Source organism: Homo sapiens, chromosome 11, assembly GCF_000001405.40.
Source record: "Homo sapiens chromosome 11, GRCh38.p14 Primary Assembly".
In the NCBI taxonomy this organism is placed as follows: domain Eukaryota; kingdom Metazoa; phylum Chordata; class Mammalia; order Primates; family Hominidae; genus Homo; species Homo sapiens.
Genome location: NC_000011.10, coordinates 126,806,777 through 126,828,154, shown reverse-complemented (window position 1 = coordinate 126,828,154; position 21,378 = coordinate 126,806,777). Strand labels below are relative to the sequence as shown.

Here is a 21,378-nt window from a genome sequence, read left to right as displayed (position 1 = left end):
TTACCTCTTTTTAAAAGTACTGGCATTTAGCAAATATTTACCATATGTCATGCACTTTACTAAATGCTTCACATACTTTATTTTACTTAATGGTCATAATAATCTTTGAGGTAAGTCATATTATCCCCATTTTACAGATGAGAAACTGTGTCAGAAAAGATAAGTCACATTGCTCCCAAGGTCACAAATCCACTAAGATTGGATCCAAGTCATTCTAATTCCAAAACCCAATGCTCTTACCATTGTGTCATTTATCGGAACATTATCCAGTGGCAATCAGATGACAAGGCAGTGCCCTCTCCTCTTTCAGAGTAGTTCAGATAAAAACAGGAAGAAAATTGCCCCTCTCTGCTGCCTGTCATTTGAAGATCTCCTTCCCATACCTGGAACCCCTTTCACTTACTCAGGTGCAAGTCAAAGTAAATGACACACCTAAACTTACATACCCAAATGATTGTTATCGACTTTAAGGCAGTCACTTTGGGATATGCCCACCTATGTAATGGTGCAGCCATACATTATATGGTTTTAGAAATCCTTTAGACTTATTTTCAAAACTGGTTCAAATGAATATCCTCGAAAGTGCATTACTGTTTTTCTCACCCCTAGAAGAGGCAATATTATCATTCTCTAAGGTAATCTAAAATGCCCCCCAAAAATGTAATAAAATCTCTGAATCAGCCAGGTGCAGTGGCTCATGCTTGTAATCCCAGTTCTTTGGGAGGCTGAGGTGGATGAATCACGAGGTCAGGAGTTCCAGACCAGCCTGGCCAATATGGTGAAACCCCATCTCTACTAAAAATGCAAAAATTAGTTGGGTGTGGTGGCATGCACCTGTAGCCCCAGCTACTCGGGAGGCTGAAGCAGAAGACTCACTTGAACATGGGAGGCAGAGATTGCAGTGAACCAAGATCGTGCCACTGCACTCCAGCCTGGGCAACAGAGCGAGACTCCATCTCAAGAAAAAAAAAAAATCTGAATCTGGGAAGACTTCCATATTGATTCTTAACATTTGGGGGCTCTGAGGGGTGAATGTCATTTTGTTCCTCTCTATAGCTTATCCAAATACCAAGCAGTAAAACAGGAAAATACAGACAAAATTAAAGGCAGCTTGGGTGGGGAGCACCCCAAAAGCAGAACAAGGAAAGCCCTCTGCCCACCATAATCCCAGCAGCCTGAAAAGGGAGGGGGATGACCTCTGCTACTCTGCCTCATTTTCAACACTGCAGCAAAGAAGCTGAGGAAGAAAGTCTTCCCTCTGCAGGAGAGACTCTAGAGTCAGAAATTAAATGTCCTAATGACAACATTTGTTTTGGGGGAGAGCACTTTAAGCATCGTGATAGATACTCATTTGTTGCCAGTCTAAACATTTGAATCCTGTCTCACAGCTACATTCTTAGAGGTGAGTAGAAATGGTGCTGTCAGGTTGAAACCCCATAGGCTTCTACCTTGCTGCAGACCAGAACACAGAACTTTGAAGGAGAGCCAGCTTCTGTGTGGAGTCATACCTCCCAACACCTCCAACACGTATTTCCCAAAACTTCTTAGCCGTGAAAGTTCAAAGCAGAAATAACTTCCACGCAGAACGTGGAAGATCAAAGCAGGCCGAGAGGAAGTCGAAAGCAGAAATAATGTTTTAAAAAATTGGAGAAGGTTCACAGGAGAGAAAGAATGATGCTCTGAAGGCCAGAGAGACAAAGGGACCCACTTAATAAACAGCAATAAAAAAAATAGCTGATGATTGGCTGCATGGTCATATGGGAAATCAAGGAAGTCAGTAATCATGATGAGGAAATCAGTTTTACATCTGTGACTAGTAATTCATTTATTCTCCATTCATTCAATCTGCAAGCAGTTACCGAGCATCTAAATTTTTCCGGACAGACAGTTAGGTGTTAGGGATATAGAGATCATCAAAACAAGGCAGAATTCTGTCCCATGTGTGCACTATCTAGCAAGAAAAGCAGGTGTTAACTTAATGACCACACAGACAGAGGTTTCACAAATACCATGGGGAAGACATCCAAGAGCTGGGGGCAAGCGTAATGGGGTGGGGAACTATTCAAGCCTTCTTTGGAAAGGGGGCATCTGATGAGTGACTAGGAGCTAACCAGGCTGAGAGGAAGGACCGGCACTCGACAAATTCTGCAGGAAGGGGAGTGACTAGAAAAGGCTGAACCCAACTGGGAAAAATCCAAAAGGAAGATTCTCCTTGATATGATTATTCCTCAAGAGGGTTGCAGAATCCCCCCTTGGAGAGAAAAGGACAACCTGATTAACGTATCAACTCGGCGGCCTTGTGTGACCTTGGGCAAGTTACTTAATCCCTCTGTGCCCCAGTTTTTTTATCTGTGAAACGAGGATAGTGGAAGTACCTACCTCACTGGGTTGCTGTGGGGATTAAATGTGTAAAAATACATAAAGTGCTTGACCCAAGGGAATCAAAGGGACCAATGAACCTGGATGGTGGAAAAAGATCGCATTTTATTTTCAGTAACTTCTAACAGGAATGTAGTATTCCCTTTCCTTGTAAGTATAGACAACAAACCCAGTGGTAACAGCAGTAGCCTGTGATTTTTATCACCATTTAAAATCTCAGGTATATTCAGATCATGTTAATGTTTTTGCAGAAATCTCAAAATGTTATTTATGCTCATCACTACTTGAAATTACAGTCATTATTAAACCTTTGCTAGATCTCATTATTCACTGTATTAATAAAGAAGAAGGCACATTACCATACCACAAATTTGTTTTTTAATATTTTTATAATTGTATTTCAATGTAATAACTGGCTTTTGTAATCCTAGGTATTTTGTTTTATATTCATATTTTAAAACATTATTCTGAGAAGGGGGTCATAGCGTCACCAGGCTGTCAAAGTTTAAAATTCCTGTCCTAGGTCAAGTGCACAGACATGAAGCATAATTTCAAGAGGCATTTTATGCCCAAGCGCTTCGTTTTGATTGGTCTACATACAGCCACATTACCTGTAGCTACTGGTTGGTGGAAAGTACCCTAGACTGGGTCAGGAGCCCATATTTATCATTGGAAATCACTATGAAAGGAAAATAAATCTCAGGACCCCCAAATCACTAAGCCAAAGGGAAAATTCAAACTGGGAACTGCATCAGTCAAATTGTCTCCCATTTTATTCCTAAATAAGATAACTACAAAGATTAAAAAGGCTACATACGTCCCTCACAATTTGTCCACTAGGAGAGGAAATTCCTTGTGGGCCTCAAGATCTTTACCCTAAAATGGTTCTGTTGAATTTTACCTCCGACAGTGTAAATCAATAGCTTGTCTTCACAGGTGCGGGACAAAAGACAGAACTCTAAGTCATCCTTCTGCTCACCTGAGACAAATGCATATCTGATTGCTTCCTCTCAGGTAAAAATGCAGATTTACTGAGCCAGACCAAGGCATAAATGGTTATTCTTCTACCCTCTCTCACATATAATTGTGTATTCAGTGAAAGGCTGATCAAAGACTCAAAATAATGCAACCATTTGTCTCTGATTTACCCACACCTTTTAAAAATTTCTTCCTCTTTTCCTAACATCGTCCCTTTCCCCATTAAATATTGAAGCCCTCAAAATCATCTTTGGAAAAAGGCACAGACCTACTTCCTGGGCATGCATCCTTAAATAAACTTTCTGGATCGATTGAGACCTGTCTCAGCCACAGCTAGATGTGTGACGTTGGGTGAGTTGTTTACCCTCCCTGAACTTGAGCGTCCTTATAACAAATCTTAGGTAAATAATACCTAGCTGCTTCACAGAGCTGTTGTATGAAATGAAATCATTTCTGTGAATGCACCTGGCACAGGTAGGCACTCTGTAGACTGTTTCTGAATAGGATTCAAGGCTGAGGGTCCTTCAGTCCATTTGCATATGCAGACATCAGCTTGCCGGATGAGAATGCTTGTTTGTCTCCCTCCTGCTGGGATGCCTGGGGACAGTTCTGACAGCTAGGTGCCAAGAGGAAACCTGTGCTTCCATTTCCAGCCCTGTCCCCATGGGCGAGCCACGCTGAACCAAAGAGTTCACAAAGATCATCATGAAAAGGGAAAACAATTTGTTCAGGGGCCCTAGAGTCAGACACTCAGCATGCTAGGCTTGTGGGGTGTTTCAGCTTTAATCAGCATCAAGTTGATCTTATTTTGAGAGATGCTAACAAATCCAGAACAATCTACAGGTAGCTCCAGCAAGATACCCCCTGGCTCTTCACCTGGTCCCTGCCCACCTGCCCCGGCCTCCCGGAGTGTGCTTAGCACCAGGGTGCCTCGTCTGCTCCTTCAGACCCACCTGCCAGCTTGAGCCCCCTACTTCACCTGGGGCACTGTAGCAGCAGAAAGCTTGTTTTCCTTTCAGACTTGTCAGATAGGTCGTTGTTTCTTTTCCCCTCTCCCTTCTTTTGTTGTTTTCTATCTTTCTGAAGATTAATTTATTGTGGCTGAAAAGATGGCAGATAGAGAAGCCTGGAGACTGATTTCTCCCTATTTATCCAAGGTCCCAGCCTGGTGCTAGCAGTGACAAACCATGTCCCCCACTGCAGGGACCCACCAATGAGACCATCCAGGCTCTGGAGTTAAATGGATTCTGCTCTCTGAGGAGCTCAGAGCACTTTAGAAACATGAGCTCATTTAGGGTCCATTCTGACCAGGATTCAAAGTGCCCCAGGGTCTCCCAGGACACAGATGTCTAACATAGCTGCATTCCTGCTGAGGCCATTCTGCCTGCCTAGAGTCAGAAAAAATGGAGGCATAAAGACCAGGTTATATGAGCCTGTAATGAAAAGCAAAGGCCCTGGAGGTTAGATGAGCAACTTTCAATTGCACCCCCACTTGTCCTCCAGGCTTTGGTTTATCCCTTAGCTGAAGTATAATGCTTTCATTTCAAAGCAGCAAAAGACATCAAGTATATGAAAGTACCTAGCACCAGTCCTTCTAAATGGTAGATAATCAATGTTAGTAGAATCCAGAATGGTTAGTGTGAGGCAGGCCCATGGACTCTGGATTTGCTGAGTTGCCTCAGATGGACCGTTTAGTCTCTCACATCTCATCTGTTTCTCACTCCCTGAGTTCTCTCCAGTGAGTATTAAATACTCCAGCGAGTATTAAAGATGAGTGGTGGATTGGAGATACTCACAAATTCCTCGACATTCCTCCCTTTAAGAGGTGGGGTCATTGGATCCCATTGAATCCATATGGTATACCTGACTGCTTTGACCTATAGTATACAGTGGATATAACACTGTGTGAGTTTCCTGGTGCAGGTGTGAGTCTCTGGAAACTTACTAGAAGCCCCGTTCTGAAGAAGTCCAAGCAAGCCACTTGGAGAGGCCGTGGAGAGAGAACAACACTGGCCAGACCCTGGCTCTTCCGGCCAGCCCAACCCAGACATCAGCTTCCTCATCCTCCCTCCTGCTCAGACCAGCTGAGTAACTCTGAATGACTTTAGTGGATGCCACATGGAGCAGAAGAGCCACTCAACCAAGCCCTGCCTGAATTTCTAACCCATGAATTATGAGCTATAATAGTGGTTATTTAAAGCCACTAAGTTTTGGGGTAGTTTGTTGTACAACAGTGAAAGGAAAACCTCAATACTATATGAGTTGCAAAAAGTCCCCAGGGTCAGATCACCTTTCTTAAGGAAACATAAATTCCTATTAAAACAGGAACTGGGCAAAGCCTAAAAGGGCAGGGCCCCTTGAAATTTGTGATATGTGCCTACATTGTAAGCAGAGCTACTGAAATTAGAAGTTCTAGAGCACTCACCAAGGCTCCTTCTCCTTCCCATACAACAAATAATAAGCATAGTTATGTTTGAGAACATACTACATGGCCAGTCTATGTGCTTTATATAATAGTAATTATATAATAGTAATACCGTTAGCCAACACTTCCAGGGCCCTTACTATGTCTCAGCATTCCAACACTTCATGTGTACTAGGCAATTCCATAAGATAGCCATTCTTATCATTCCCATATTATACTTATGAAAGCTGAGGGACAGAGACATCAAGGGGCTTGCCCAAGGTTACAGATCAAGAAAGCATTGTAATATGTCATTCTCTCATTAACTCTGCATTTGCTTCCCATTGTTGCTGTAACAACTCACCACAAATGGGGTGACTCACAACAACACTAATTAACTATCTTCACAGTTCTGGAGGTCGGAAGTCCAAAATGCATTTCACTGGAATTAAATCAATGTGTCTGCAGGGCTGTGTTCCTTCTGGAAACTCTAGGGAGAATTTGCTTCCATGCCTTTTCCACCTTCCAGAGGCTGCCTGGATTCCTTGGCATATGTCCCCTAACTCCATCTTCCAAACCAACTAGGGCTGGTGGGATCTTTTGCACCCTGCGTCATTCTGACCTGAACTCTGCTGTCCCTCTCCTCCACTTATAAGGACTCCTGTGATTACATTGGGCCACCGAGATGGCCCAGGATACTCTCCTCATCTCAATTTCAGCTGATTAGCAACCTCAATTTCATCTGCAACTTAATTCCCATTTGCCATGTAACATAACACATTCACATTCACACATTCATGGATGTCTTAGGAGGGGGTACATTATTCTGCCTACCTCACCCTGTAAGATGGGAATAATGATGTCTCCCCTTTTATAAATGAGGGAGCTGGGGACCCTAATAGTTAAATAATTTTTGCCCAGGTCACACATATCAAATGCCACTTCTCCTGAAAACTACAAGGTCCCAGGTTAAAAAGCAAGAATATCCAAAAATGGCCAGGTAAGCCCTTTCCAAAGGAAGGGATGTTGGTTGGAAGTTACATATATATATATATATATATATACTGTGTTTATCCGTTGACCCATGAAAATCTAATATTCTATCAGCTTTACAGTGGTGAGAAGCACTGCTGGGGGGTGTCCCCCTGCCAGCTTCTTCAGCCCTAACAAAAGGGAGAGAAGCCTTGTCTAGGAAAACCCCTCTGAGATTGCTTGCTTATCTGTCCCTGAGAATTGAAGAAACAACATTTCTCATATCCACTAAAGCCTTCTGATAATGAACTCTGCGATAAGGGGACTCCATTCATAGTGAAGCCACAAATCATTCCAGTGCATCAACCTTTTGCAGTCCCAAGAGAGATAAAGAGGGAATGTTTTGGAGTTCTTTAAAAACATTTTGTGTGCCCGTGGTATCTCAGACCTAGTAAGCTCGAAACACACCCATCCAGCACCTTGGGGGCACGCCAGGTCCTTGAGATATAAAACCTTTAGTCCTCACGAAAACTCAAGGTAGCTGTCAATGTCTCTTACCCATAGTTTCCACACCTGGAAAAGGGGGATAAGTATCCTCTCCACAGCTATAACGGCCAGTGAGTGACAAAAGGAGGATTCAAACCCAGGGCTGTTTGGCCTCAACTCCAGCTCTGGCCTCTGTGTCCTGCCTCCAGCCTGCTGCTGTGCCCGCTGAGACTCTGCTTGTGCCTTGTCCTATCTCCCACCACATCTCCCACCTGTCCAGACCCTCCCATCCATCCTTCCAGGCCTGAATCAACACCCTACAACTTGCCTGCTATGAAGTCTGCCCCAGCTGCTTTAAGTTTTTCTGCTCCCTCCTTCAACAAAATTTTTTACCTCTTATCGTGTGTTTGTATTCTTCTCTGTTCTTGGGTCTTATTCATTTCCCCAGGATAGATTATAAACTCCTCTGGGTCAGAATCCACACCTTATATAGTTATTCCACTTGGGATCATCATGGAAGCTGCCATTAGCTCTAGCTGCACAGATCTTCTATGCGTGTATCTTTTCCTGCAGGAAAAGGTTGGCTTGCTTTATCTTCAGACCTTCTTGGTTACTTTTTTTTTAAAGGCTTGCTACAAAGCTTCATTCAGAAAGTTCAGGAGCAGGCCTCGCAACTCTGCAACTCCGGGTTAACCCTGAAACTCAGCTATCTGCCTCCCTCTGCAGCATTCTCTCTAAACTATGTGCTAGCTGAAATCACTCTCACCAAGAAAGTATTCACATGAACAAAATGAATGGGGCAGGGGGATTTTTCTGCTCTGTTCATTGGTGTACCCCCAGGACTTAGAATAGTGCCTAGCATCTGTTAGGTGCTCTAAAAATCTTACATGAATGAATGAGAGAATGAATGAAAGTTGTTGAAAGCACTTCAAATTTCAGATGACTATCTTAATGAGCTGTTCATTAAATAAATAACCTAATTAGCCGTAATCAAGTGGAACCCAGGTGTCCTGGACCCTGATCAAGTGTGGAAAGTCCAACTCTGAATGTTTGGGGTGCGTCGGGAGAGTGGTATTCTTAAACACTCTCCCTGGATAATTCTGATGCTCACCAATCAAGAGCCACTGTCTTACAGATAATTGTTAGTTATTGGTAGTGAGTCTGGCAAAAGGCTATAAGTACATTGGCAGATTATCTGCAGGTACAATCCTCTTGACAGGCCTAGGCATTGGCCTCAGTGATGCCTGTGGCCTCTGCTCACCGATGTGTATGTGAGCGTTCCTGCCTCCTCTAGTGTCTTGCAAAGTCTGGCCTGAGCCCCGCCCAAAGCACCTAATGCCATCGTACCTGCGAAGCAGATGGCCAACGTGCTCTTAATTGGGGTGGCTGTATCCATCTAATTGGGAAGCTGCCTGGAAGAACCATCTATCACTCCTGCCGGTGACAAATGGCAGGAAGGAGCAGCCTCCCACACAATGGCCCTGCCCACTCCTGCTCCTCCACACCTTATTATGCCTGAGAAATTAATATTCATGTTGTTTTGTCTTGACAAGCAGGGCAGAGTGATGTCAGGTAGTTGCTTCCCTTGTCCTCCTTCTGCACATTCCCCTGAGCGGCTCTGGTAGGGCTGAACCTCTGCTGGGAAAGCCTTAGTGCCTCTCAGCTGGGGACAGAACGGTACCTCCTGCGAGATGCTCTCAGGGGCTTGGCTGAGCCTGGCTGACCGGACCGTCGCCTCAGGCTGCCCAGCATGCTAGGGACCCAGATTATTTGCCACCCTCTGATGTCATATCTACAAGTCTTGCATCTCTACCCTCTTCACTGGGCTGGTTGGGGTCCAGATACCTAAAGCTACTCACATATCTCCAACATGCACATGGCTGCCACCTTCCTCCCCAACTGCCTCTACCCCTAGCGGCCTCGCCCACCAACCAGGTTCATTTCAGTTCAAATAAATGTATTGAGTGTTCCCCATGGGTTAGGCATTGGACCAGGACAGGAGTGTAGGGGATACGTCCCCTGCTATTGCCATCTAGTACATGTCTCATGTCTAAGGAAGTCAAACAGCTGTAAAAATTTCTACAGAATTTGAAAACCAGAGACCAAGCTGCAGGTAGAGTAGAGGCTGACCTGAAATCAACAATTACAATAACTTTCCAGAGTCTACACAATGGGGAGAAGACAGAGTGTTTGCAGGAGAATATCTGTCAATCAATAAGGATGTGTCTTTCTGTAGTATTTTCTAAACTTTCAGATAAGTCTAATGTTCCCTCTTCCCAACACACACACACACACACACACACACACACACTACTACTACTACTACTACTACACAATTTCTGCTTTAAACAGCATACATAGTAAAGAGGAATGGTTAATATTTTATTGAAACTCTATAGTATTCTAGGTATAGACATGTTTTTATTTAATATATGCAACAACTCCGTAAAAGAGATGTTATCATAAGTAGTGAGGAAATAGGCTCAGAGAGGTTACGGAAGGTGCCTAAAGCCACACAACTAGTAAATGGCAGAGGCAGGATTCAAGTTCCTTCTGCATTATGTGAAAGCCTATTGAGCCTCTTCTATTCTGCCACACTGCCTCCCTAAAATCACTTACTTTCTTCACTCTTCCCATTCCTAAGTCACTGTTTGCCTTATTGATGGGCCAGAAGCAATTGCAAACAGCTGTCCTATAATCTGTGCCTTTCCTTTCCCCAGCTGTGAAAACACTTCGTCTGGCACGCAGCTGGCTTCTGTCCTGGCTGTGCAGTGTCCATGGCCCTAGACACTTAGACTCACCTTACAACCTGATCTTTGACAGATGCTCTTGCCCCCCTGATACAGCCACCATGCCAGTTGTCTGCTAAGTCGAGGCATCCTCGAAACGTTCCTAATACTCTAATCAAGATTGATCTGTCCTTCTGTGGAGCATGGCCACTTCCTTAATCAGCTTGGGCTCATTTGAGCCTCTCCTCCTGCTGAAGCCTCTGATTCAAGAGCTGAGTGGCTCAGCCAGAGCCAAGAGGACGGGGTGCCAAGATCTAGAGCTTCCCACCCGTGGGTTGTAGTGGGTCCACATAATGACCCCCTCAGCCTTCAGATCAGGGTGGGGTTGGGACAGCCAGAGTGCCAGAGTCACCTCTAGATATGGGTCCATCACATGTTTATTCCAGCTGCCCTACAAATGCTATCATTAGCTAGCGTGACAGGATGTGAACAAGTTAGGGAAGCTCGGTGGAGCTCCCTGACCCCTCTGGGATCTGGCATTGGTCTCATTGCTCTTCTGCATGTCATTTTACAAGTGTCATTTTGCAGCCACATAGGCTGGAAGGATGAGAAAGCAAGGCATCCCCTTCTGGGCATGGGACAGGGAGTACCGAGCAGGGGTTCCAACCATAGGACACCAGAGGACTGGGGATGCTAATGCCTGATTGGTGGGAGAAATGGGAAGGTAGAAGCCTGAGGATATTGCTAAACCATCCCCTTCTGTCCCCCACAATGAGGAAGCTGAAGCCCTCAGTCACTCGCATCCCATGGCCAGCATGCCAGCTAAGTCACCATCAGCTTCTGTTGACTGGCTGTCATCATCACCACCATTTTCTGTGGTACACTGCATCCTCTTTCCTTGGAAACTCATTCTGACTCAGGCAAATCCTCATTTCCTTCCTTTTCAGTTGACAGATGCAAAAGTAAACATCCTCAACAGGGTGAGCTGTTTATCCCCTCTGCCTCCTCTGGTCTTAGATGAGCTGTTTTATACACTTGGCTTTTTTGCTGTTTATCCATGGTCCAGCTGCTTAATTTTTCTATCTTTCCTATTAATTTTAATAGTGTTGGCTTTCCTCATTTGTTATTTTTCTCCCTGCAAGCCTACAAGTACATGCTCTTTACCTTAGCTCTATTTTTAATGCAACAGGTTCTTCCTTCCCTAAAGTAACGTGTTTCCTTTAAACACCCATGATATCTACATTTGTTTAACAAGGCTCTGCTCAGCTGTTCCTCTGAGGTGCTGAGTCTATGATTAGAAGCAGTGCTGTGCTAATGCCATTTCCGGGTGCCTTTTCAATAAGTCACTTATTTCTCTTCCCTGCGTTTGTTTCCTGAACGATTATTGATTGTGGTCAGCCTCCTGCGGCTTTCAGAGTGGCTTTGGTCTGTAACAACATGGAGACCAGGCTTTGGCGCAAAGAAGAGCCTTAGATTTTGCTTTCATGTAGCCACTGACCTCCCTGCTGGGGTGCAGATGGGGTTGGTGAAAAGGAGGAGATTAAATAGTATCCTTGGAACTTTGTGAGCACGTGGGAGATTCCTGGGTTACAGATTTGTACTCAGGTCTGGCCTCAAAATTCAGCCTGAGAGATTATAAAATGGAAACATAGCCAGGACTTTATTTCTCCACAGCGGGTCTCTAACTTTAAAATTCTAAGCAGTTGTAACATAATTCAGAATTGAGGCAGTGAATCCAAGCACAGAGAGATCAAACCTGCCATCAGCCCACTCCTAAATAATATTGCCCATTATCATACTATTGGCTTGTCAAACCATGGAATCTTCACTCAACTTCAGGAAACGTAAACTCGGAAAGAAGTCTTCCCCTTAAAGGAGAAAAACAGTTCACCTATTGTCTATGCAATTGTAGGATAATTGAGCTGACATGCATTTGAATTATAAAGAATACATACTGTCCTTGTTATTTACCTACTTTCTAATTTTAACATGTAGCACTAGTGATAATTACTGGCATTCCATATTTATACAAAACTAACTCTTTCTTAAGACTCCAATACGGCAATTATCTTTATACAGTATATGCTGTTTTTCTATAAATGTTGAAAATTCAATAATTATCACTAGAACTAGCAATGGCATTTTGAATACAAATAAATAACAAGGAAAGAGGTTATTTATTCATTAATATTCAAAAGACACACTAATTCCTCTTCATCTGTAGTGGATGAACTCAGCTCTGGATCTGTAAGAACTTTACGTAAGCCAGTTAAAACTGTCGTCGTGTGGTTTTTGCTTATTAAGAGTCAACAAGAGCTGCCTCAAAGGGAAAAGAGAACAAGGAATATACCTCATGATAAAAATAATAGCTCGGCCGGGCACAGCAGCTCATGCCTGTAATCCCAGCACTTTGGGAGGCCGAGGTGGGCAGATCACGAGGTCAGGAGATCGAGACCGTCCTGACTAACACAGTGAAACCCCGTCTCTACTAAAAACATACAAAAAATTAGCCGGGCGTGGTGGCGGCTGCCTGTAGTCCCAGCTACTCGGGAGGCTGAGGCAGGAGAATGGCGTGAACGTGGGAGGCGGAGCTTGCAGTGAGCCGAGATCGCGCCACTGCACTCCAGCCTGGGCGACAGAGGGAGACTCCGCCTCAAAAAAATAAATAAATAAAATTATAATAGCTCACATTTATGAAATGCTACTACATGCCAGATACTGTGTGCTTTCAAAATTTGTCCCATTCATCCCCTCCACAACCTCACAAAATAGCGGCTATCCTTCCCCGTGTTACAGAGAAATAAGATGAGGGTTTAGAGAAGTCAGTTGTGTGCCTCAGGTCACACAGTGGGAGAAGTGAGAGCTAAGAACAGAATCAGGGTGTGACTCATTCACTAGGCTTGCCCCTTCCTTCCACGTGGAATCTTGAGTAGAGCCAAGTCATCTCTTGATGCCCCCATCCTTAACTCAATCCAGAAATATCGTGTGCTAAAGGTTGTTATGGAAATGAACTTGTAAAAGCTAATTGCTCCTCATGGTCCTGGAGAATAAAGACAAAACTGCAAGCCAGGTGTCTTTTGTCATCTGTTTTTAAATAAGCCAACACCGTAAGAGACTTTCTTTTTTTTAAAGCTTTACACCCAAAAGAATGGATCAACAGGTTTAGGTGTTCTGCATGTCAATGATGAATCCTCTAAATTTAGGGTACAACTGCAAGAAGGTGACCTAAAGGAATCCACCTTTTTATTTCTTTTACTTTCTTCTTTTCTCTCAACTTTTAAGTTCTGGGGTACATGGGCAGGATGTGCAGGTTTGTTACATAGATACGTGTGCCATGGTGGTTCGCTGCACCGATGAACCCACCACCATCACCCAGGTATTAAGCCCAGCATCCATTAGCTATTCTTCCTAGTGCTCTCCCTCCCCCAACCCACACCCCCATCAGGTCCCAGTGTGTGTTGTTCCCCTCCCTGTGTCCACGTGTTCTCACTGTTCAGCTCCTACTTAGAAGTGAGAACATGCAGTGTTTGGTTTTCTGTTCCTGTGTTAGTTTACTGAGGATAATGGCTTCCAGCTCCATCCATGTCCCTGCAAAGGACATGATCTCATTCCTTTTTATGGCTGCATAGTATTCCATGGTGTATATGTATCACATTTTCTTTATCCAGTCTATCATTGATGGGCATTTAGGTAGATTCCATGTCTTTGCTATTGTGAATAATGCTGCAATGAACATATGTAGTGCATGTATCTTTATAATACAATGATTTATATTCCTTTGGGTATATATCCAGTAATGGGATTGCTGGGTCAAATGGTGTTTCTGACTGTAGGTCTTTGAGACCACAATGGTTGAACTAATTTACACAATGGTTGAACTAATTTACACTCCCACCAACAGTGTAAAAGCATTCCTTTTTCTCCATAACCTCGCCAGCATCTGTTGCTTTTTGACTTTTTAATTTTAAAAAAAAAGCCATTCTGCCTGGCATGAGATGGTATGTCATTGTGGTTTTTATTTGCATTTATCTAATGATCAGTGATGTTAAGCTTTTTTTCATATATTTGTTGGCCACATGTATGTCTTCTTTTGAGAAGTGTCTGTTCATGTCCTTTGCCAACTTTTTAACCGGGTTTTTTTTTCTTGTAAATTTAAGTTCCTTGTAGACTCTGGATATTAGACCTTTGTCAGTTGAATAGACTGCAAAAATTTTCTCCCATTCTGCAGGTTGTCTGTTTACTCTGATGATAGTTTCTTTCGCTGTACAGAAGCTCTTGAGTTTAATTAGACCCCATTTGTCAATTTTTGCTTTTGTTGCAATTGCTTTTGGCGTTTTCATCATGAAACCCTTGCATGTGCCTATGTTCTGAATGGTATTGCCTAGATTTTCTTCTAGGGTTTTTCTAGTTTCGGGGATCCCACCTTTTTTTTTTTTGCCTTTGTTTCATCACTTTGTAGATTCTGAATAAGAAGCTTTAAGGGCACTATTCACTTATTCATATTTGAGACCTCTTTGCTTGAAATTCACCACATATGTGAACCTCAATACCAATTATCTGTGCTCCTGGGTCCTAATGACTAAATGGTTAATGTTAGTCAAAATGGTTATGAAGATATCAAGCTCTAAATAAACAGGGGAATTCATTCTTCAGTAATTCTTTGGGCAGAATTCCCACTCAATGAAGTGGATGTCAGGTGGACAAAATCTCAAGGTAATATTTTGGTCCAGAATATTTATAACTTTTTAACCAAAAATATCATCTTGGCAGTGCAAATGTGTGATAAGGAGCTTAGTGAGGGACTACCCCAGGAGCAGCAAACTACGAGGATCCAAGGTCCCACCAATTCATTTGTTTCATACACAGGTGGGAGAGGTGCTTTGGACTAGTGAACATGTTTTTAATGATTTTGAAGTGAATCCCAAAGCCTTATTAATGCCCCAGTCACAAAGGAAAACAAGACTGCAAATGCCTTCATCTTCATGCCTCCCAAGTATCTGAAGGCACAGTCCTTGAATCAAGTTATTTTCAGCTCAAACGAGTTGCTGAATTATTTTCACTAAATTTTTTCTACCTCCCTAAAGCCTTGCAGTTACTACAAGGAGACACGAGCCCTATTTCAATGATGGAAGTCAGTTTCTGAGTCTAAACTGGAGAAAACAAGACTTGACACATAGTGAGCTGTGGCTAATGAAATGGAGAAACAGGCATCATTGCCTTGATCTGCACATTATGTTCTGCAGTGTGGTCTCACCTGGGCCGTGAACTGCAGCCCAACAACCTCCAATGAGAGCCCAGCTTCCCGGTCACAGCAGAGGTGCGCAGATTCCCGTAGGCCACTTCCTTTAGATGGAGCCATGTTCTTGGGCAAGTAACTGGGAAATAGAGAAACAGAGCCAGACCCAGAAATTGGATCATTGTAGAAGTTGATTGAAATGCATTGCTTGATTGCCTGAGCCTTGGTCTCAGTGAAAGAGTGACAGAGCCACTCATCCCAACAAAAGGACCCTGACGCCCAGTGTGGTGCTGTATGGACAAAGGCCCAAAGTCAGGGCGGACTAAGAAAATCTAGTTACTAACCATTGCCTTGCATCTGAAATCTACAGCTTGCAATCTAGTTGTCAAATTGTTGTTAGCATTTGTGAAGTGCCTACTGTGTGCCAGACACCGTGCGGAGTACTGGAGTGGCAGAACTGACTCGTGTGCATCTGTCTTGCCTTTCATGGGAAAGATGCTCAGGGTTCACCATTCTGTTCAGTGGACAATATTAATTGTGGAGTGGTGTCAGAGTTCAAGAAGTGCTGTCACTGAATCTGAATAAATCCTGAGAGGAGTTCCGTCTGCCTAAACCACCAACGGTTAGCCTGGAGAGCATACTTCGTTTTCCCCCAGTCCTTCTCATTATTATCACCAGCCACATCTACAAAACAATAGTAATGAGTGCCTGCCATATACACAGCGCTATCCTAAGGACCCCAAAGTTCCAAAGTAAGGAAATTAATGATCCTTTGGCCTTCTTCTTCTTATGATCACAATAGAAAGAATGGGTTAAATAGTAGCAAATGGCAAGCAGTTTCCTTAATGAACAGAATCTATTATATCTGGTCATCAGGATAAATTGTTCTTATGCATATTGAGTTTGAAGATTCTCTAATCCCGAAAAGTGCCTTAACCTGCTCATATTTGCCACCAACAATAGAAGGTCTGCAGTATGTCAATACCAGTGCTGGGGGACGGGGAGGGCTGAATTCAGAGATTGTCTCTTGACTGTAAATTAATGTTTGAGGGCTTGATCTGATTTCTCTTAGAAGTTCATTGCTGGCCAGGCACAGTGGCTCACACCTGTAATCCCAGCACTTTATGAGGCCAAGGCGGGTGGATCACCCGAGTTCAGGAGTTTGAGACTAGCCTGGCCAATATAGTGCAACCCCATCTCTACTAAAGGTACAAAAATTAGCTGGGCATGGTAGCAGGCGCCGGTAATCCCCGCTACTTGGGAGGCTGAAGCAGAGTAATCTCTTGAACCTAGGAGGCAGAGGTTGCAATGAGCTGAGATCATGCCATTCCACACCAGCCTGGGTGACAAGAGCAAAACTCCATCTCAAAAAAGAAAAAGAAAAAAAAGAAGTTCATTGCTAACGTTGCATGCTGTGAGGGAAGGGTCAGCTGTAGCTGGCACCGTCCCCGTCCAATGCACAGGTTCCTATTCATTACTCATGTATCTGTCCAGTTTGTCAACAGCTATGAGAATACTCTATGTGCTAGACACTTTTCAGGGTTCTAGGGATGCAGCAATTAACCAAAATTCAGACACAGCCCCCTACCCTCTTGGAGCTTACAGGCCAGCAACCACACGGAGAATTCAGACAAGGACCTCGTAGCTCCATAACAGTCACTCGGTTCTGGGTCAAAGTTCTCTCTGAAGAAAGAGGATGAAAGCGGGTGGGAAGGGTACTAGGGACACCTCCTGGAAAACAGAAGAATTCTCAGCAGGAGGAAAGACAGAATTGTGAACTGTCAGGTGGGGTAACAACACATGGAGTTGCTAGCTGGCTGCTTAAGAGCCTGGCTGCTGCGGGAGCTTAGAAGGGGATGTCAACACTCCTATTTGGCCCTCAGCAGGGCCACCAGGTGCCCATGGGTGTAGCCAGGGAAGGCAGACAGCTTGGGTGGCCAAGAGAACGAAGCAGATGGGGTTTGTCAGACCGGCTGCAAGGCTCATTAACGTACCACCTCCTCCCTGCACACACTCCAGTGTGCACACACACACCCACAGCTGTCAGGGAGAGAGCCCGGGCTTGAGGGGCTTAAGACAACCTCCAGAACAGCCATCATATTCTCAGGGTTTCAGTCAGAACTGCAACCACAGCTGGAAACTGCTCTCTGTTGCTCGGCCTCCCTGATCGATTTGGTGTTTCAGACTCAGTAGTCCATGAGGTCTTCATCTCTTCCCATTACTCCTCCAAACAGATGCCCATTTTATAAGCCATTTCTGCGCCTTTCCTTGGGAAGCAATTTCCCTCTTCAATGTAAAGACCTCTGGCTGCAAGCAGCCTCTAAAATGCTAGGGATGCTCAGGTGTAGGGCCTGAGCACAGAGATGATCTCTGGCCTTATTGTCTTTCCTTGCGGTTCCATACTCCCATTTACGGGGTGTTTGCAAGCTACTTAACCTAACGAGAGGAGCATGTTAGAGCTTGGAAACATGTGGAAATCCGAGATTCTGGAAGGATCCAAAGGGACTTGGGGGTTTACATAAAATATTTTTAAAGTGCTGACCAGAAGAAAGGCCTCCCAGCAAGTCCTTGTGTGTCTGCAGAAAGCTAATATATGGTAATCAGGGCAGTGTGAAGCTGCTGTAAGTTTTGACAACATAACAGGGAGCTTATCACTGATTTCCGCTGTTGCTGCATATTCCTGGGATCCTGGCTTGCTGGAGAGGTGTGAATAGAAGATTTATTTTGTATTGTTAGATTGTCAAGGCACTCTAGAGCAACAACTTTCAAATGATAACTTTCCAAGCTTACAGAAGATGTGAACTATATGCTCTTAGTCCAGTGTGAGCAAGGGGATGACAGCACTCCCCCTCCCCATCATCCTTCACTTTGCTGCTCCAGTGCCCTGAGTGGTCAGTGACTCAACACGCTGCCTTTCCCAAACCAAATTGGGCCATCATTAAGAATGAGAGACATCTATTTCGAGCCATGAAACAAGCTGAGGCGAATGACATGTCATCACAGAGAGATAACTTTTTCACACCTAGACCCCCAGAGCCCCAGGACAACCTCGTTTGCCAAAATTCAGACCATCTCAAGTTAACTGGATGTGAGAAAAGATTCTGGAGATTGAGTGGGGAAGGGAAGGAGGGAGATGCAAGGAGACAGGAGACAGTATCAGGAGGGTTTTGTCTGTAATCCCACCTTAACTGGCCATGTAGATCTTGGAGAGGGCAAATCTCTTCTCTAGAGGCAGGGATGATAGCAAAGCCCTGTACAGGGCGGGGCCTTAGGCACTGTGCCCCTAACCTCTAAGCAGCTAGTGACTTCTGTGAGTCCTCTAACCTCTCCAGTTAGCATACAGCGATTGAATTAATTAATTAGTTAAACAAAGCTCTCAAATAAAGTTACTGGTCTAAAGACAAAGGAATGAGAATATTTAATTTGTTCTTGTTGCCTCTCCCTTCTTTGCATTTGCTATTACTTATAACCCTTATTATTCTACATGGCACTGCAGTTACTTAAGTACCTGTCTACCCTATCTCCCTTTCAGATTCTAATATCCTTGGGGGGCACGGTCAGTTCCTTGTCTGTCTTCTGTGTCACCCAACATACATTGTACTTAGTATGCACCTAAATAAATGGTCATTGGATTGAATTGGGGTCCCTCTTATTAACAAGACCTATGGCTTTATAACGCACCTCCTAGAGCACGGAGGAGATTCCATCTTCTCTTCAGACTCCTGCCCAATTTCATTTGCTCCTAGGGCATGTGAGTCAGAGCTTGTTTTCATGACTGGGTGACCCTCCTCTGCTCTGCCACCCCTTAATGAAGGTTTTGCTGAAGCCAAAGCCTCCATGTTGTGAGACTCTGTTATTGTAGGGTTGCTCATGACTGCTGAACAACTAGCCATGCTTGCGGGTTTATTATTAGAGGCCTGTACACAAGGGCTGGCTCCTTGCCTGTTTTTTTTCCTAAGGCAAAGAAAACAGAATAGTTGCATTTGTTTTTTGGGGGAAAGAAAAGAACAAGAGATTTTTCAAACAGTTATGAATAAAGCAGAATCAGTCCATTCTGGAACCTCCCGACCTTGACAGTGGCCTTCTCATGCTATATAAACATTTGTTTTGGGTATTTAATAAGCTGCCAGCTGACAAATTGTAGAACTTTTTACAAGAGCCCCTTATCTTTTCTAGAAGCACTGAGATGGCAAAATATATTCTCCGTCTCAACAATTCATTCTATATATGCATGTGGAAATTGGAAAGCAAGTTGTTTTTCTTCGTTTGCATGACAAAACTCAGACCCCAAAATACAATTCAGCATTTAATCTGAGATGGTTAAAAAGCGCAGAAAAAGGCCCCCGCCCATTTGGCTCCATTTTGCTGCTGATGTTTCTGTTGTTACAATTAAAATTGATTTATAAGGCTAAGGACATAAAATACCTTTTTGTATAGCCCTGCAGTAAGCCTGTGGAGTCTGCTGCCTCAGGAGGTCACTGGGAAAAAAACAGACCCCATGAAAAACTGCCTTTATCTTAAGGCCTTAATAACTGCTCTACATCTTAGCAGAGCCCTCCCACCACATTGGGCAGGGGAGGGGGAGTTAGCCCTGGAGCAAGGACTAAATTGCTGAAATGACTCCTTGAAAGCTGCACCCCCATTGTAGCTTGCCAAAAACAGGTCATGGAGCCTCCTGGAAAAGAAGTGAAGACATTTAATTTTCAAATAAGTATTCTCTTTTGCTAATGACTCCCCTGAAGGGACCTCTTACTCCATGGATCCCTCTTTCCTTTATGCTCCCAGCCTCAAGATGAGGGCCCTATTCTCCAAACTACATACAATTGCTCCTCAACCCCAGGTCAGTATCTGCAGTCCTGCAGCTGGCCTGGAGAGCATCTACCACTTGCAGTGCAACATCTTTGCTCACCTTCCTCCTAATCCACACTAGTTCAGACATTCATTCTTTCCCCATTTATCCAGTGCTGAGCCTCACACAAATGTGCATTTGGGAAAAATAACACCATGCCAGGCACTGAGGGATACAGATAAAAAGGTTGCAGCCCATGGCCTTGGGCATATTAGTCACACAACTTGAGCTTCCTTTCGTCACCTTCCTATGAGGACTATTATTTGAGACAATATATGTAAAGTGCCTAACAGAGTGCCTGGTAGTGGGTAAACACTACATCAGCGATAGCCATCAGCAGCACCCATTAAAGGACTCTCCAACCACATCAGAGTAGACATGTAGAAGAATCTCAGAAGCCTCCTAGAAATGGGTTAAAGGACGATTTTTCAAAATCCAGGTGAATGGTAAGGGGAAAAGCACTCCAGGCAGGAACTGTGACAAGTTTAAAGGCATGGAGATGGGGAAGGGCACAGCATAATTGGGTACCTGCATGAGGTTCCGTGTGTCTATGAATGCACGAAACCTGTGTTCCCTACCGTGGTGCACATATCACTGGGAGATTTGGGGTGACTTTTTATATTTTTATATTGAAACAGATTTTTAAATTTGAATAGTTAGACATGAATGGTTAAACACATAGCTAATGAGGTCTCAACCACTAGAAGCCAAAATACAGGTTAGAACATGTGTACATGGCAGAGTTTCATTCCCCAGGTTTGTCCTTTCTCCTGTCATCTTTCCCACCACATGGAAATGTGCCCATAATTCACCTTAGTGACCTGGCAATTTCCTGTGCTCCATTGTAAAATTTCAGATGACATTTCTTTGTTAGAAGTATAGGATTTTATCAGTGGGAGTCAGAGAAAATAAAATGTTAGCAGGAGGTGGGGCCTGGGGCAGTCAGCCTACCTCCCTTCCCAGACCACGTCCTACTCCCAAACCTGCTTGGGAACTTGGAAAAAGATAGTTATCCTTGCAGGGTCTCAGTTTCATCCCCTTTGAAGAGTACAGCGTGGTCATGTGGCACATATGTGCCATGGAATTCTATGCAGTCATAAAAAAGAGTGAATTCATGTCCTTTGCAGGGACATGGATGAAACTGGAAACCATCATTCTCAGCAAACTAACACAGGAACAGAAAGCCAAACACCACATGTTCTCACTCATAAGTGGGAATTGAACAATGAGAATACATGGACACAGAGAGGTAAACATCACACACTGGAGCCTGTTGGGGGTGGGGGGCAAGGGGAGGAGAGCATTAGGACAAATACCTAATGCATGTGGGGCTTAAAACCTAGAT

At 44.0% G+C, this 21,378-nt stretch overlaps 1 protein-coding gene across 17 annotated transcripts in view, besides 2 other annotated features; it reads left to right on the top strand.

Annotated features, from left to right (window-relative positions):
* The window catches only part of KIRREL3 (kirre like nephrin family adhesion molecule 3), a 580,037-nt gene that overhangs the window by 175,240 nt on the left and 383,419 nt on the right, over positions 1-21,378 (top strand). The gene's annotated exons all lie outside the window — the stretch shown is intronic.
* Positions 3,750-4,249: an enhancer, noted in NCBI's record as "H3K4me1 hESC enhancer chr11:126693801-126694300 (GRCh37/hg19 assembly coordinates)". NCBI's record gives its function as "activates a minimal SCP1, AML or CMV promoter by ChIP-STARR-seq in naive H9 embryonic stem cells {active_cell/tissue: H9 hESC(naive)}" and the evidence as "EXISTENCE:reporter gene assay evidence [ECO:0000049][PMID:30033119]".
* Positions 4,250-4,751: an enhancer, noted in NCBI's record as "H3K4me1 hESC enhancer chr11:126693299-126693800 (GRCh37/hg19 assembly coordinates)". NCBI's record gives its function as "activates a minimal SCP1, AML or CMV promoter by ChIP-STARR-seq in naive H9 embryonic stem cells {active_cell/tissue: H9 hESC(naive)}" and the evidence as "EXISTENCE:reporter gene assay evidence [ECO:0000049][PMID:30033119]".